Source organism: Homo sapiens, chromosome 2, assembly GCF_000001405.40.
Source record: "Homo sapiens chromosome 2, GRCh38.p14 Primary Assembly".
In the NCBI taxonomy this organism is placed as follows: Eukaryota; Metazoa; Chordata; class Mammalia; order Primates; family Hominidae; genus Homo; species Homo sapiens.
The window spans coordinates 132,409,522-132,423,629 of NC_000002.12; the positions used below are offsets into that span (position 1 = coordinate 132,409,522).

The 14,108-nt window shown below is 43.7% G+C and overlaps 2 protein-coding genes across 2 annotated transcripts in view, besides 3 other annotated features; one reads left to right on the forward strand and one right to left on the reverse strand.

Annotated features, from left to right (window-relative positions):
- Nucleotides 2,868–7,523, reverse strand: LOC124905948 (uncharacterized). Its single transcript, XM_047446885.1, has 4 exons — nt 7,385–7,523; nt 5,899–7,015; nt 4,708–4,898; nt 2,868–2,938 (listed from the first exon to the last, which is right to left on the reverse strand). Exons 1-2 carry the CDS (start codon nt 7,521–7,523, stop codon nt 6,294–6,296), a joined length of 861 nt encoding a protein of 286 aa, XP_047302841.1. The 3' UTR covers nt 2,868–2,938; nt 4,708–4,898; nt 5,899–6,293.
- Nucleotides 6,915–7,209: an enhancer, noted in NCBI's record as "tiled region #6129; HepG2 Activating DNase unmatched - State 4:PromP". NCBI's record gives its function as "activates a minimal TATA promoter and a strong SV40 promoter by Sharpr-MPRA in HepG2 cells {active_cell/tissue: HepG2}" and the evidence as "EXISTENCE:reporter gene assay evidence [ECO:0000049][PMID:27701403]".
- Nucleotides 6,915–7,209: a silencer, noted in NCBI's record as "tiled region #6129; K562 Repressive non-DNase unmatched - State 20:ReprD". NCBI's record gives its function as "weakly represses a minimal TATA promoter and a strong SV40 promoter by Sharpr-MPRA in K562 cells {active_cell/tissue: K562}" and the evidence as "EXISTENCE:reporter gene assay evidence [ECO:0000049][PMID:27701403]".
- Nucleotides 7,284–14,108, forward strand: part of GPR39 (G protein-coupled receptor 39) — a 229,778-nt gene continuing 222,953 nt past the window's right edge. Inside the window, exon 1 of the mRNA NM_001508.3 lies at nt 7,284–8,377. Coding sequence (NP_001499.1) covers nt 7,522–8,377 — 856 coding nt within the window. The 5' untranslated portion in view covers nt 7,284–7,521. The remainder of the gene's footprint in view (nt 8,378–14,108) is intronic.
- Nucleotides 10,304–10,945: an enhancer, noted in NCBI's record as "NANOG hESC enhancer chr2:133177398-133178039 (GRCh37/hg19 assembly coordinates)". NCBI's record gives its function as "activates a minimal SCP1, AML or CMV promoter by ChIP-STARR-seq in naive H9 embryonic stem cells {active_cell/tissue: H9 hESC(naive)}" and the evidence as "EXISTENCE:reporter gene assay evidence [ECO:0000049][PMID:30033119]".

Here is a 14,108-nt window from a genome sequence, read left to right on the forward strand (position 1 = left end):
TCTTTATATGGATATGCAACACTTTGTTTATCTATTCTCCTTTAGATGGCCATTTGGGTGTTTTTCAGGTTGGTGTAATTACTGACAATGTTGCTATGAACATTCTTTTATATGCATTCTGGGGTATATACCTAGGAGAGGAATTGCTGGGTCACAGGATATATGTGTGTCTATGAATAACTCTAGTAGACCCTGCCAAACTCTTCCGAAGTGGTTGCATAAATTTGCTCTTTATCCTCAAGGTACAAGAGTCACCATCATTTCACAGCTTCATGGACAGATGGTACTGGTTGTCTAAATGTTAGCCAGTCTGGTTGGTGTGTGGTTGTACTTAATTGTGATTTTAATTTGCATTTCTCTGATTACTAAAGAGGTTGGGTAACTTTTCATTGTTTTTTGTCCATCTGGATTTTCTCTTTTATGAAGGGCCTGTTTATTTCTTTGGCCCATTTAGAAAATGGGGTTGTTCACCTTTTCCTTAATGAATTTTATCCAGATAGATTCTTGATTGTCTCAAGAGGCATCTATTGAAAAGAGTGGTGTCCTGAAGTCCATGAGAGTTGATTGTTAAAATTTCAGGAGTTTTCTGAGTAGGTTGTGAAATTGCTGGTAGCTCAAAGTCAGCCACAGTGTTGATACCATGGAAACTGGCAAATGCGATATAAATCAGGGCATTTTCCGCTAGAGAGTTGGTTGATTACTACACCAATGGAAAAGCCCATCTTTTCTGCCCTGGCTCACGAGGCCATCGCTGTCATAAATCCTGGTCATACACATATGGATTTATTTCACTGCTATCTCTTCTGTTTCATTCCTCTCTTTGTCTATCCCCATGTCAAAACCACACTGCCTTGTAAACTACAGGTTTATAATAAGTCTTGGTATCTGGTAGAGTGGGTCCTCTCATCTCCTAAGAGTATCTTGCTCATTCTTGGCTCTTGACATTTCTCTGTAAATTTAGAATGAGCTTGCCAAGTGTTTACAGAAAAATCTGTTGAAATTTTAATTACATTGAATCTATAGATCAATTTTGGGAAGAAATGTATGTTTTTATCTGCTTTGAGTTCATTATGGAAGTTACTCATTACTGTGTAAAATCAATTGCATATATATTCTATAAGCTGTCATTTGTTATTTATCTTTATCCACAGTCTTTCTTGCTCTATTGGTCCATTTTCTTACTGCTATGAAGAAATACCCGAGACTGGGTAATTTACAAAGAAAAAGAGGTTTAATTGACTCATAGTTCCACATGGCTGAGGAGGCCTCATAATCATAGCAGAAGGTGAAGGAGGAGCAAAGGCATATCTTACATGGTGGCAGGCAAGAGCGCATGTGCAGGGGAACTGCCCTTTATAAAACCATCAGATCTCATGAAACTTATTCACTATCATGTGAACAGCCTGGGAAAAACCCACCCCATGATTCAATTACCTCCCACTGGGTCTCACCCATGACACAGAGGAATTATGCGAGCTACCAATCAAGATGAGGTTTGGGTGGGGACACAGCCAAACCATATCACTTGCCTTGCAGAACTTTTACATTTTTGTTAAATAAAGTTCATCAAACTTTTCCTTTATAGCTTCTAGGATATCGCTCCTAGTAGCCACAAAGGCAAGCCACACAAAACTTAAAATGTAATAGTAGCCACATTAAAAAAGTAAAAGGCTGGGCGCAGTGGCTCACACCTGTAATCCCAGCATTTTGGGAGGCTGAGGCAGGTGAATCACCCAAGGTCAGGATTTCGAGACCAGCCTGACCAACATGGCGAAACCCCTCTCTACTAAAAATATAAAAATTATCCGGCGTGGTGGTGGGTGCCTGTAATCCTAACTACTTGGGAGGCTGAGACAGGAGAATCACTTGAACCCAGGAGGTGGAGGTTGCAGTGAGCCGAGATCGTGCCATTGCATTCCAGCCTGGGTGACGTAGTGAGACTCCGTCTCAAAAAAAAAAAAAGTAAAAAAAGGTAAAATTATTTTTAATAATATATTTTATTTAATCCATTATAGCAAAATATGATCATTTCAACATGAAATCAATATATAAAAACTATTCACGAGATAATTTACATTCTTTTTTTCATACAAATTCTTAGAAATCTGGTCTGCATTTTATATTTCAGGGACATTTCAGTTTGGACTAGCCATATTTCAAGTGTTTATTAGTCACACGTGGCTAATGGCTGCCATGTTAGATAGCTCAGGTCAGTTTCTTTGTTAAGGCAGGTCTACAGCAGTCTTAGGTCTGTGGCTAGTTTAGTGCTACCAAGATCTGGCCCTTCCAGGGTTGGTTCAGTGAGGTCTCTTCACTATTGTTGGTTGAAACTTTAATGTTTCACAGCTCTGTGTGACTTTGGGAATTGTTTGTCTTACAGCCCCTGAATTACCCCCTAGCCCTGCAAGTTGCTCTTTCTTCAGCATATTTTGCCTAGCTCTTGGAGTTTCATCTGCACATGCCCATTTAGTATTTGGCAAAAGGCTCAAGAAGACTTCTGCATAGCTCTCTGGAACTCTTTCTCTGTGTAGTTTCCTCCTTTTCAGTACTCTTCTTCGTAGAGTCCAGTAGCCTCCTCCTGAATTCCAGTCTCTGACTCCCCAACTCAGTGAGATGACTGTGCTCTCCTTGGGGTTCCTTCTCTGCCCCATGGTCTGCAAAGTGCCTCCACACAGCAGGCCTGGGTGATCCCAGGGCTTACCTTATTAGCTTATCTTCCCTGAGAGATCACAATCCATGCTGTGGTGTGGGTCTGGGGTTGTGCACAGGCTGCCAGCCTAATACTCATTATTCTTAAGGCCAGAAGCAGAGGTCCTACTTAAAAAAAAAGTCTTAGCTGGCTGCAGTGGTAAATGTCTGTAGTCCCAGCTACTCAGGAGGCTGAGGCAGAAGGATCACAAGTTCAGCCCAACCTGGACAAAATAGCAAGACCCACCATCTACAAAAGAACACAAAACAAATAAGGTTTTGAGCTTACTTATTAGTTTTACTATCTAGTTATTTCGTAATTACTTTGATCTTTATTAATCGCTTCTTACAGTCTTCTTTAATATTATTCTTTTTATAACTTGATGTATTTTTATTCTTTCTTATTAGAAATAATTAGGGCTATGAGTTTTTCTTTCAGGGATTCCTTTAGCTATTTCCACAGGTTCTGACATGCAATATTTTTGTGGTCATTATTCTCTAGATAATCTGCAATTTGGGTTTTGCTTTTCTCTTTGACAAAGAATTGTTCCAGAGACTTAAAAAAAGTGTATTTTGAGATGGTAGAGTTTTATGTTTCAGTTTTCTGGTTTTGTTATTAATTTTAGTTATATTGTATTACAAATAAAGTTATCTACACTATTTATAATTTTTGAAGATGTTTTAAGTTTTCGTTGTAGCTTAATAATCATGACAAACCTTTGTAAACAAGATGTTATTCACTTTTTACTGTAAATTGTTTATCGACTTTAAATGAGTCTGTTATCAATGTTAGTATATAAAATAAATTTAAATTTACAAAAATATAATGCGTGTGTGTGTGTGTGTGTGTGTGTGTTTACTCTGGGTGCCAGTGTAAGATTATATTTCAAAAATGAGATTTTTTTTCTAAAAAAATGTGAAAACCACTAGGCAATGTGACTTCAAAAGTCATCTAGAATGTGTAGAATGGGAATATAAATTTGTGCAGGCTCTAGAGTAGAGTGAGCCTTGAGTTGTGTTGAGATCAAAGGATACCCAGAGTATTTTTTTCTTTCATTTTTCATTCATTTTCTTTCTTTCCTCTACACAATATGCTAATAAAACATCTAGATTACACAGACCGAGGCCAGGTGCTATACCAGTCTGTTATCAACAAGTGAGAGCACATGAAACCGTTTTTAATTGGCCTTAGGAAAAGCAGAGGTGAAATGAAAATTTAATTCTCCTGGACCTTTTTTCAAAATGTATTTTTCCATCTCTACTGTAAAGAGTGCATTTTAATTAGGTTGATTCTCACTGTTTGGCCATGCATTTGTAATCTGTGTTCACTCTTTGGGAAAGAAGAATTTGATGAAAGGAACCTGATAATAATGGAAATCTTGTCTGAGCAGAACAAATTGGAATTATCCAATATGATAGGGATGTGAGAAGCATTGAGGCTGGTGACTGAAAAAAAAAAAACACCTCTCCCCAAAACACCACTGTTCTGCCTAGCACAGTCTTGTCCTGGCACAGGGAGACAGTGCAATAGCATGGAATGTGCTTTTGGTGCGTCTGGGCCTTTCTGGTGCATCACAATCCCCCATCCTCAATTTCCCCGCCTGTAAAATGGGGGTAATAATCTCCACTTTGCACTATTGTGAGGATTGAGAGAAATGAATTATGTGAAAGTGCCTGACATGTTATAGGGGCTCAGATAATGAGTAAGAGGAGAATTTCCAAGGAAAGCTCTATGGCTGGGCTGAGGGTGAGGTTCCTAGTTTGTTTACAGCTTTGAAAAGAAAGAAGTGAGCAGGGGCAGGCATTTACGTGTAAGTGAGAGTGTGTGTGTGTGTGTGTGTGTGTATGTGTGTTCAGGGCAGGGGAATCTGTGGGTACATCCTAGTACAGTCCAGTGTTTCTGTGTGTGCCATTCAGGATGAATTTCCTGTGGGATAGCAAACAACCAGGCTCTGCCGTAGAGAAGTCGATTCAGAGTCCTCATCTGCAAGTAGAAAAGCCCCAGGAGTCCATGCTTACCCCCATTACGCTACTCCTGTGAGTGTTGTGGGACAGATGAAAGGTCAGCTAGGTCCTTCAGCTGAATGCAGTGCACTAATGAGGAAACGAGTTAGGAGTTTCTCCACCAGTGCCAACAAGCAGGTCAAGTAGCACACATCGGGGGTGGAGAGGCCGCCCACAAAACACATTATTTAGGGTGCTATGCCAACCTGTCAGAGAGGGAAAAGATACACTTCTTGGCTTTGGAGCTTGTGATTTAACAGAACAAAGAAAGAGAAAACATGAAAGGCACATATGAAGCTAATTTTAAAGATCCAGTGGCCATACAGCATTTTTTTTTTCTCCTAGACAGCATTAAAATCAAATAATCCTTGAGGTCATCAGACAATAGCTCCAGTGCACTGTGCAGAAAGTACAGTCCTGGCCGGGCGCAGTGGCTCACACCTGTAATCCCAGCACTTTGGGAAGCCGAGGTGGGCAGATCACCTGAGGTCAGGAGTTCAAGAGCAGCCTGGCCAACATGGTGAAACCCTGTCTCTACTAAAAATACAAAAAATTAGCCGGGTGTAGTGGCACGCACCTGTAATCCCAGCTACGCAGGAGGCTGAGGCAGGAGAATCACTTGAACCCGGGAGGCAGAGGTTGCCAGTGAGCCGAGATGGCGCCATTGCACTCCAGCCTGGGCAAAAAGAGCAAAACTCCGTCCCCTCCCCCCCCCAAAAAAGTACAGTCCCATGTTTCTATGTGCACCATTCAGGATGAATTTCCTAAGCACCTACTGCATTCCCAGAATTAGGAGTACAAACTCAGGGGTCAGACTGATCTGGATTAATTTCCAAGTCTGTCACTAACCATTTTTTAAAAATCATATATATTTAAGGTGTGCAGCATGATGTTTTGATATACAAAGTGAAATGATTACCACAGTCAAGCAAAGTAAGGTGTCTGTCATCTTCCACAGTGACTTTTTGTGTGTGTTGCACCTAAAATGGACTCTCTCTGCAAATTTTCAATCTACATTGCAACATTATTAACTGTTGTCCTGTGGCTGTATGATAAATCTGTAGACTTATTCATTTTGTCCTTTGACCTACATGTCCCCATTTCCTCTCCCTCCCAGGCCTTGGTAACCACCTTTCTACTCTTTGTTTCTATGTATTTAACTTTATTTTATATTCCACATCTGAGTAAGACCTTGCTCTCACTCACTCTTTTATGGCCTTGGGGAAGCATAGGTCCTCCAGACAGCAGAATTGCTTCATCTTTAAAATGATTGCATCGATGTGGCGATTGGGATAATTCAGAGATGTTTTCAGCACAGAGGGCTTGTGCTAGGCCCCTAGAATGTACAGATAAAGGGGATCCATGTTCTTCCTTTGAGGCAGAGGTTCTGACTTTGACTTTGCCACTCCCTGGCAAGGGGCATTTAGCAATGTCTGGAGACATTTGGCTGTCCCTATGGATGTGTGTATGCAGGTGCTAAACATCCTAGAACGCATAAGGCAGCCTTCCTCCCCCTTCATTGCTCATTCCCTCTGATTGTGGAATTAAAAGACGAAAATGGGTCCATTCGAGGGAAAAGGTCATGATCCTTAATGCTGTTTTTACATGACGGCCTTGTCAGAGCCTTCAGCTCCTCCTGCTGTCTTCGACGTTCTAGGCACAGCTCCCTCCGGAGGGCATGCTTCCCACCTGGGGCTTGCTGGCGGAGTGCCATCCTCATCCATATACATGTCCCCAATTAAAAGACGTCCCGCTGCCGGGAAAGCGGCTGCACCTTGGAGCGAAACTGAAAGAAGAGACCCCGGGGTCTTCGCGTCCCTCCGTGGGAAGGCGAGGCAGGGCCCTGCGCAGAACACCGGCAGGCTCTGGGGAAAGGCAGGGATTCTATAGTGAATCCTGCAAGCCTGCTTGGGGCCGACTTCCTGGAGCAGCGGCTGCAAGCAGCGCAGAGCCCAGCTGTCCTTGGCAAACACCCCACAGAGGAGGCGAGGGCTTGCTGGCTCCTCTGGGACGCCCCGGTCAAGCCACCACCAAACGGGCCGTGACCTCGCCTTCGAAGGGGGCCCCCAGGGCAGCGGTGGACGTGGGGGCAGTGCGGGCGAGAGGAAGTTTGTCTTTCTCCCAGCTCGGGAGGGTCGCCAGCTTCCCCGGGGCTGCACCTCCTTGGGACGCTTGTCGGGTTGGAGCGCCGCAGCTGCCTCTGCGGCTGCCGCCTGGGTGACGGAGGGTGGGGCGGGGGTGGGTCGCTCGTAGCTCGAGAGCCACGATCTGATTTCAGGGACCGTGCCTATGTGCTGAGTCAAACCCCGCCGCTGGGCTGGGTCTGCAGCCGGGCCGCTGAGCACAATCCGCTGTGGTTAATGATTAATCGCTGACCACCCCGCCTCCCGCAGCTCGGGAGAGGGTGCTCTGGGAATGTGGACCGGGGCTCTCAAGTGCCGGCAGCTGGAAAGGAAGAGGAGTGCTGCGAGGCGGAGTGCGCCCTCGGCGAAGAGGGGCAGAGGCGGAGCGCCAGGTGCTGCGGTCTCACTCCCAGCCAGCCAGGAGTTTAGAACGTTCTTCCTCCGCCCTCTCCCCGCCTCGCCCCAGCCACATACACTCCCAAACCTCAACACCCAGGCGCCTCCTGGGCCTCTCCTAGGTTGGGCTGCTCCAGCAAGTTTCCATGAAAGCACCTGAAATACTAAGTTACCTTCGCGAGGAGAACTCGAGTGAGATAAAATCGTGCGCCCACGCAGGTGAGTTTGCAGCCAAGAATTTTGGACGCTGCTGGGAGGAGAAAGGGAAGTTGAGAAAGTCTTTGGACCTGGTAGCCTGGTGCTCTTTCTCATGGCTTCACCCAGCCTCCCGGGCAGTGACTGCTCCCAAATCATTGATCACAGTCATGTCCCCGAGTTTGAGGTGGCCACCTGGATCAAAATCACCCTTATTCTGGTGTACCTGATCATCTTCGTGATGGGCCTTCTGGGGAACAGCGCCACCATTCGGGTCACCCAGGTGCTGCAGAAGAAAGGATACTTGCAGAAGGAGGTGACAGACCACATGGTGAGTTTGGCTTGCTCGGACATCTTGGTGTTCCTCATCGGCATGCCCATGGAGTTCTACAGCATCATCTGGAATCCCCTGACCACGTCCAGCTACACCCTGTCCTGCAAGCTGCACACTTTCCTCTTCGAGGCCTGCAGCTACGCTACGCTGCTGCACGTGCTGACACTCAGCTTTGAGCGCTACATCGCCATCTGTCACCCCTTCAGGTACAAGGCTGTGTCGGGACCTTGCCAGGTGAAGCTGCTGATTGGCTTCGTCTGGGTCACCTCCGCCCTGGTGGCACTGCCCTTGCTGTTTGCCATGGGTACTGAGTACCCCCTGGTGAACGTGCCCAGCCACCGGGGTCTCACTTGCAACCGCTCCAGCACCCGCCACCACGAGCAGCCCGAGACCTCCAATATGTCCATCTGTACCAACCTCTCCAGCCGCTGGACCGTGTTCCAGTCCAGCATCTTCGGCGCCTTCGTGGTCTACCTCGTGGTCCTGCTCTCCGTAGCCTTCATGTGCTGGAACATGATGCAGGTGCTCATGAAAAGCCAGAAGGGCTCGCTGGCCGGGGGCACGCGGCCTCCGCAGCTGAGGAAGTCCGAGAGCGAAGAGAGCAGGACCGCCAGGAGGCAGACCATCATCTTCCTGAGTGAGTCCTAAGTCGGGGGCAACACGTGAGCAGCTTCCCAACCTTCCCCCACGACCCGTGCCACTGCCTGTGGCCCTCTCCAGGGCAAGTCTTGCCCTAGAATTGCACACTTAAGTTTACTAAGGTGGAAGAGTCTTGTAGCAGTATGAGGGCATTGCTCTGGGTCTCTGAATGTTTCTTCTCTGTGTTTCGGGGATTCATGGTAGATTATGGTGAAAAGAGCACGAGACCAGAACCCAGAAGGTTTGGGTATATTCCAGAACATCACTGCTGTGACCTTTGGGAAGTCACAAAAATCTTTGGTAAAATGGGGACAATAATACTAGAGAATATGACGGACAAATTAGGTAATGCAGGACAGGTGAAAGTCCTTTGCAAAAGACCAAGTTCTGCAGAGATACAGGGAACCGTCTTATCTAGCTCTTTTACCCGGGGAAGACTTTCTTGTGCAATTAGATTTTGTTCCCATTTTTCTCCTCCTTTGGAGAAAGCAGGCTGTGAGCGACACACACTCTCGGGCTGCTATTTTATTCCTTGGAGCCTCTTCGACCCAATCTTAAGACATGGGAGCTCTCAGCACTCCCCAGGGCTTGGGTTTCTGCCACTGTGGGTCTGTTCCTTACCAGACCAGAGCAACCTGGCAGGACGGCCTGTTTATCTGATCCAGAAAATCTGGCTTCACCGATTCCTAGGATTTGAATAATCACCTCACAGACCCAATTCTTATGCTTGTTTTCCAAACTTTTGTTGTGATACAAGTATTTAAAGTTGAGGCCTCGTCTATTTAAAAAGAGCCCACAGGTCTGTTGACCCCAGAGCCTTCAGAAGAGGGACCTAGTGGCTGGGAGACAAGGCTTTAATGGAGACACATGAAATGTGTGTGAACAAAGGGTTTTAAAATATATTTTTTTAGCAGAAACAATAAAAAGGATGTATTGTGCGTGTGTGAATCAAAAAGGAATAGATATAACAAACATTTCCCTTCTTCCCTCTCCCCTGTGGCATCAGGAAAAGGAATAAATCATGGTGCTGTTTGTTTTGGTGTGGGCAACTGGGCAGCAGGTTCCAGGGACAGGAGGTAGACATGAGAGAGAGTTGGAAGGCACTTGGAGAATGATGGAAAGACCTGGGTCTTGCCTCAGACCAGCCCCTGGCTTCCAGTGTGTCATTAATTGTTAAAAGCTTAGGGTCTAATTTTACTCTTTATTCGATTTGAAATAATTGCCCTAATGAATTTCAAAGTACTCAGAGGCAGCCATGGATTGCCCCCAGGGAGCTGGGCTTTGAGAGCTGTGGCAGGTGACCAGCTGACTTGACTTTACTCTGTGTCTGCACAAAATGAGAATATTTGGATGCTACTCTGCATTAGGGGCTGTGCCAGGTGACTGATATTTCCATCTTCTAGAGGAGGAATTTGAGACTTAGAGAAGACCTAGTTCAGAATCACCTCAGTGCAGCTCAAAGAGTCCCACTGTGCTTTTCAGGGCAGAGAAATGCATGTCTGTTTGTGACTTTCACAGGCGTGTGGTGAAAGGAAAATGAAACAAGGCAGGACTTTGACAAGCATAGGTAAGCCTGGTGGTGTTGCTGCCTCTTAGGGCCAGCCTTTCTGGAAGTTGTAGTAGGTAACGTTATCTTGGGACTTGGGAAGCGTACCCAACTCAGTCTATCACCCACTGGTTGCTACTACTCAAATATTACAGAGAGGAATGGACATTGTATTTGCTTAAAGCTTGAGTGTTTGTTGAAATACTAGTTCTCCCTTCCTCCATAAATATTCCCTTAGGCATATCTTAAACTGTAAGGTGTAATTTATACTTTAGTGTGAGTTAATTAAATTTCCTTTTTTTTTGATCGGAGGAGACTGGCATGAGTGGATAAGAATTAGGGGGTAGATAAGCATTAGCAAGTGGTCTTCAAGTATCTCCCAGTCTAACTTAGGAATTAAGGCTGCCTTTGACCAAAGGGAAAATCATTGATTTATCGTTACTCTATTTGACCAATCTCTGTGTTTCCTGTATTTCTCTGAGTAGATGTCTGTTCTCCCCACAGCAGGTGCTCCAAGTTAAAGCCAGTCTCCATTTGCAGCATAAAATCAGAATGCCACAGACTTTTATTTAGAGATGGATAGGACCTTGGAGATCATCAGATCCCATTAGTAATTGTCTGGAATGAGTTTGTTCTTGCTGCTGCTCTCGTTCTTTTCTTCTGGCTCTTTCCTTCTTTCCTATACCAACTGTATGTTAATCGCCCACTGTGTTCTCAGCATAAAGATTGTTGAATGGCAATCAGGTGCTCAATGTGCGATAATGTCCTGGGGGAATTTACCGTTTGTATTTAGCCCATTTTCTCTGCGGTAGGTTTTCAAAGCAGTTCTCGCAAATGTCCTCCTCTCCCAATGAATTTCAAAGAGCTTTTAAAAATAGGAACCTCACTAATTAACTCAAGTTAGGAAATAAATTAATGGAGTGAAGAGGAAGAAATCATGGCCTGCATTCATCAGATTAATTCAATGCAATTTACTTTGTAAGTTTCATAAAACTTGTGCTTTGGGGCATTTTTAACCCAGAACAAATGAACATATAAATTGTTTACAAATCGCTGAATTTAATATAGTAATTTAGTTGTCTTTTTAGTATTTCATTTCACAGATGGGTCAAATTAAAATAAATATTTGCTTATTTCAAACATTTTAAATTTAATGTGAAATGTAAATGGCGACATATCACAAGTAGTTCTTGGAGCTCTTAAGGCAATAAAGAAAACAATTAAGATTGTTCGCCGCTCGTTGTTAAAAATGCTAACTTCTGCATGACAGAAACAAAATTCATAAATCTACGCAAGATGAGGAAGCCCATGTAAAAAATATTAATTTTCCTTCATCTTTCACTATTGTGCCTCAGTCTAGTCGATGTGCTGGGCTGGTGAATAAGGAAAACACATTGGGAACTCTGGGAGAGAAAGAGAGGCTGGGATACCTACTAGCTCTCAAGCAATTTACAGGAGAACACAATAGTGATGCAAAAGTGCACATTCCTGGAAATAGGAGTGTCTTGTCTTGCCTCTTGTCAGCCCAGTGACAAATCAGTACTAGACTTGGTTTCTGTTTCAAGGTTTCAGCCAGTGTGGCATGGTAATATTTGTCCGATGTCAGAACAGAGGTTGCTGGTCTGGATTTCTGCCTCTTCTGGAGGAAAGGAACTGATAATTTGATTATCTGTCCTGTCCCTTCAATGATGAGGATGTGTAAAATGAGACTTCCTTTCAAGCAAGTCTTTCCCCAGACCTCCCATCTTCTCTTTCTGAAGTCTCCTTTGGAGTTGTTCTCAATGCAGATAGCATCCAGGTCTGTGGACACTTGTGTGTGTCTATTGCACACATGGCTTGCTATCAAGTGTCACCCACTCAAAGTGGAATGACAAAGTAATTTTAAAAAAAGCATAGTTTTAATTTGTATAATAACTTTCAAGTGATTGGGACTCAGCTGCAACTACCTCCTAGAGAACTAGAGGGCAGTGATTGGCTTTCAACTATAGTTATGAAAAAAGATTTTACAGACAGTCATGAGGTTATTAAATAAAAGAAACATCATAGAAGATTCATAACTCTAGAATAATTACACTCTTTTGCATTCTGATTTGCTCTCCTGAGTCAGAAGGAAAGGGAAGAAGTTACATCTAGTGGCAGGGATTACACATCAACTTGGTTTGCTCATATTGAATATAGACATTATTCATCACGTGTATTTGGATGGAACAAAGGTTAGCAGTTGCTGCTGAAATGAACTACTCTAAAAATAAGGTTGATATACATTTAGATATTTGTGGCATGGTTCAGGGAGAAGCAAAGAGAAGGAGCTCAGAATCACATCCTCTGGGTTTTTAGACCACAGAATTAGGTCAAACCAAGCAGGGCCAGGGAAGAAGAAGAGAGAGAAGAGAGGGTAGAGGGTAGAGGGGAATGAGATATTGACAGTGGGTCCTCTTTACCTGAGGACAATCGTTACCTGAAAAGAACTCATAAAGTTGGTTCCTTTAAAGTGGGGTTGAAAACATTTGAAAAGAGGTCTCATTGGGACTTGAAAGTGAAAATTATGAAAAGAAATTTATTTGTATGTTACAAATATAAGTTATAGTTACAACTATATATTAATTCTTATAATGATTATTCAGAATGAATCCAATGTGGCTTGAGGGCACAATTTTTCTAACAAAACCATCTGATAACCTTTGTGTTTTATTTTCTCAGTAAGATTATAAAAAGGGCCTCTCTTCATTCTTTGTTATTTAAATCACCCTCATGGAAGCACCTATCCTTGCATTATCCTTATCAGTTTTCCATTCTTTCATAATTATCTGGTCTAATTCGAGCAAATCTTTGCTTGTCAGTGGCGTGGCATTTGAATCATCTGTTTCTTCAGCTTCCTTTTCATTGACTTCATGAAATTCTGTACCCTGTGTGCAGGCCATAACCAAAAATATAATTAATTTAAAAACCAATCCCTATACTCTACTGTATATTTCGTATTACACAGAAGTGGATGCCTTGAAATGCTTTGACAGTGCCCATAAGAATTTTTAGTAGTTGTTTTCTTCACTAGGTTAAATGCTTATCTTACAATCATGTTTTCATCATTAGTTTTCTTAGCAAAGGCTTTTTATTTGATATGAAAGGATATGTCAACACAGTCTTTGAGGGAAATACCATCAACATTAAATTAGTGACTTTTTTAGTGTAAGATATTATTTTGACTCCAATGTTTCAATATTTCAGAAAAAAGTTTTGCCTCAAATATTTTATGTTTATTACCCTATTTGTGATAGCTTTCATAAATTGCAAGTGTCCTGTGATCAGCCTGGCAGACAAATATAATAATGCTGCATTATTTTTATAATCAGGCTGTCTCAAAGATTTCATTTCTCTGTTGGAGAGATGCATAGTTTCCGAGGAAGGGGAGATTGAAATCCCAGTCCCCATTTATTAGCAAGCCTGTTCATCTGTCAGCCTCCTGGGGGCTGCTGAAGTGTAATAAGAGAGGCCTCAGTTGCACAAAGCATTTGGCTTATTAGTGCTAAAACCATTCAGAATAAAAGCCATTTACGAGTTGAGACAGCGCCGTGGAAGAATATTGAATTGGGAGTCAAGGAGCCCCTCTGGCTGTACAAGGCAAGGTCCGCTGGTCTACCATTTGGAGGACACTGTCGACTCCTATCCCTTTTCCCTCTGCACATGTCCCCTGCCAGGCTGCAGCCCTGGGACCACTCAACTGACTCTCCACCTCTACTCTTGGCTATTTACTGAGGACTGGAGACATGATTGGTCATCCTTTCTGCTGCACATTCTTGTAGATGAATAGCTGTCTTCTCATTGTGTCCTGACCTGGCCTTCTCTGCACATGTGTTCTCCTGGTGTCTCTTGCTCTTCTTATAAGGATGCTGGTCTTATCAGATTAGGGCCCCACCCTTACAACTTTATTTTACCCGAATTACCTCCCAAAGGCCCAATCTCCAAATACAATCACACCGGGGCTTAGGCCTTCAACATGTGAATTTGCAGGGGACACAGTTCAGTTTATAACACCCCTTAACTGCCTTATTCCACTGGCTCCCCTTCAAGTTCTTCAAGTGACCATGACTGGCTCTCTTCCCCCATGCTGCCTGTGTATGGGTTGTTTCCTCTGCCTGGCATGCTTTTCTATCTTACTCTATTCTCTACCTGCTCCCCACTTCCA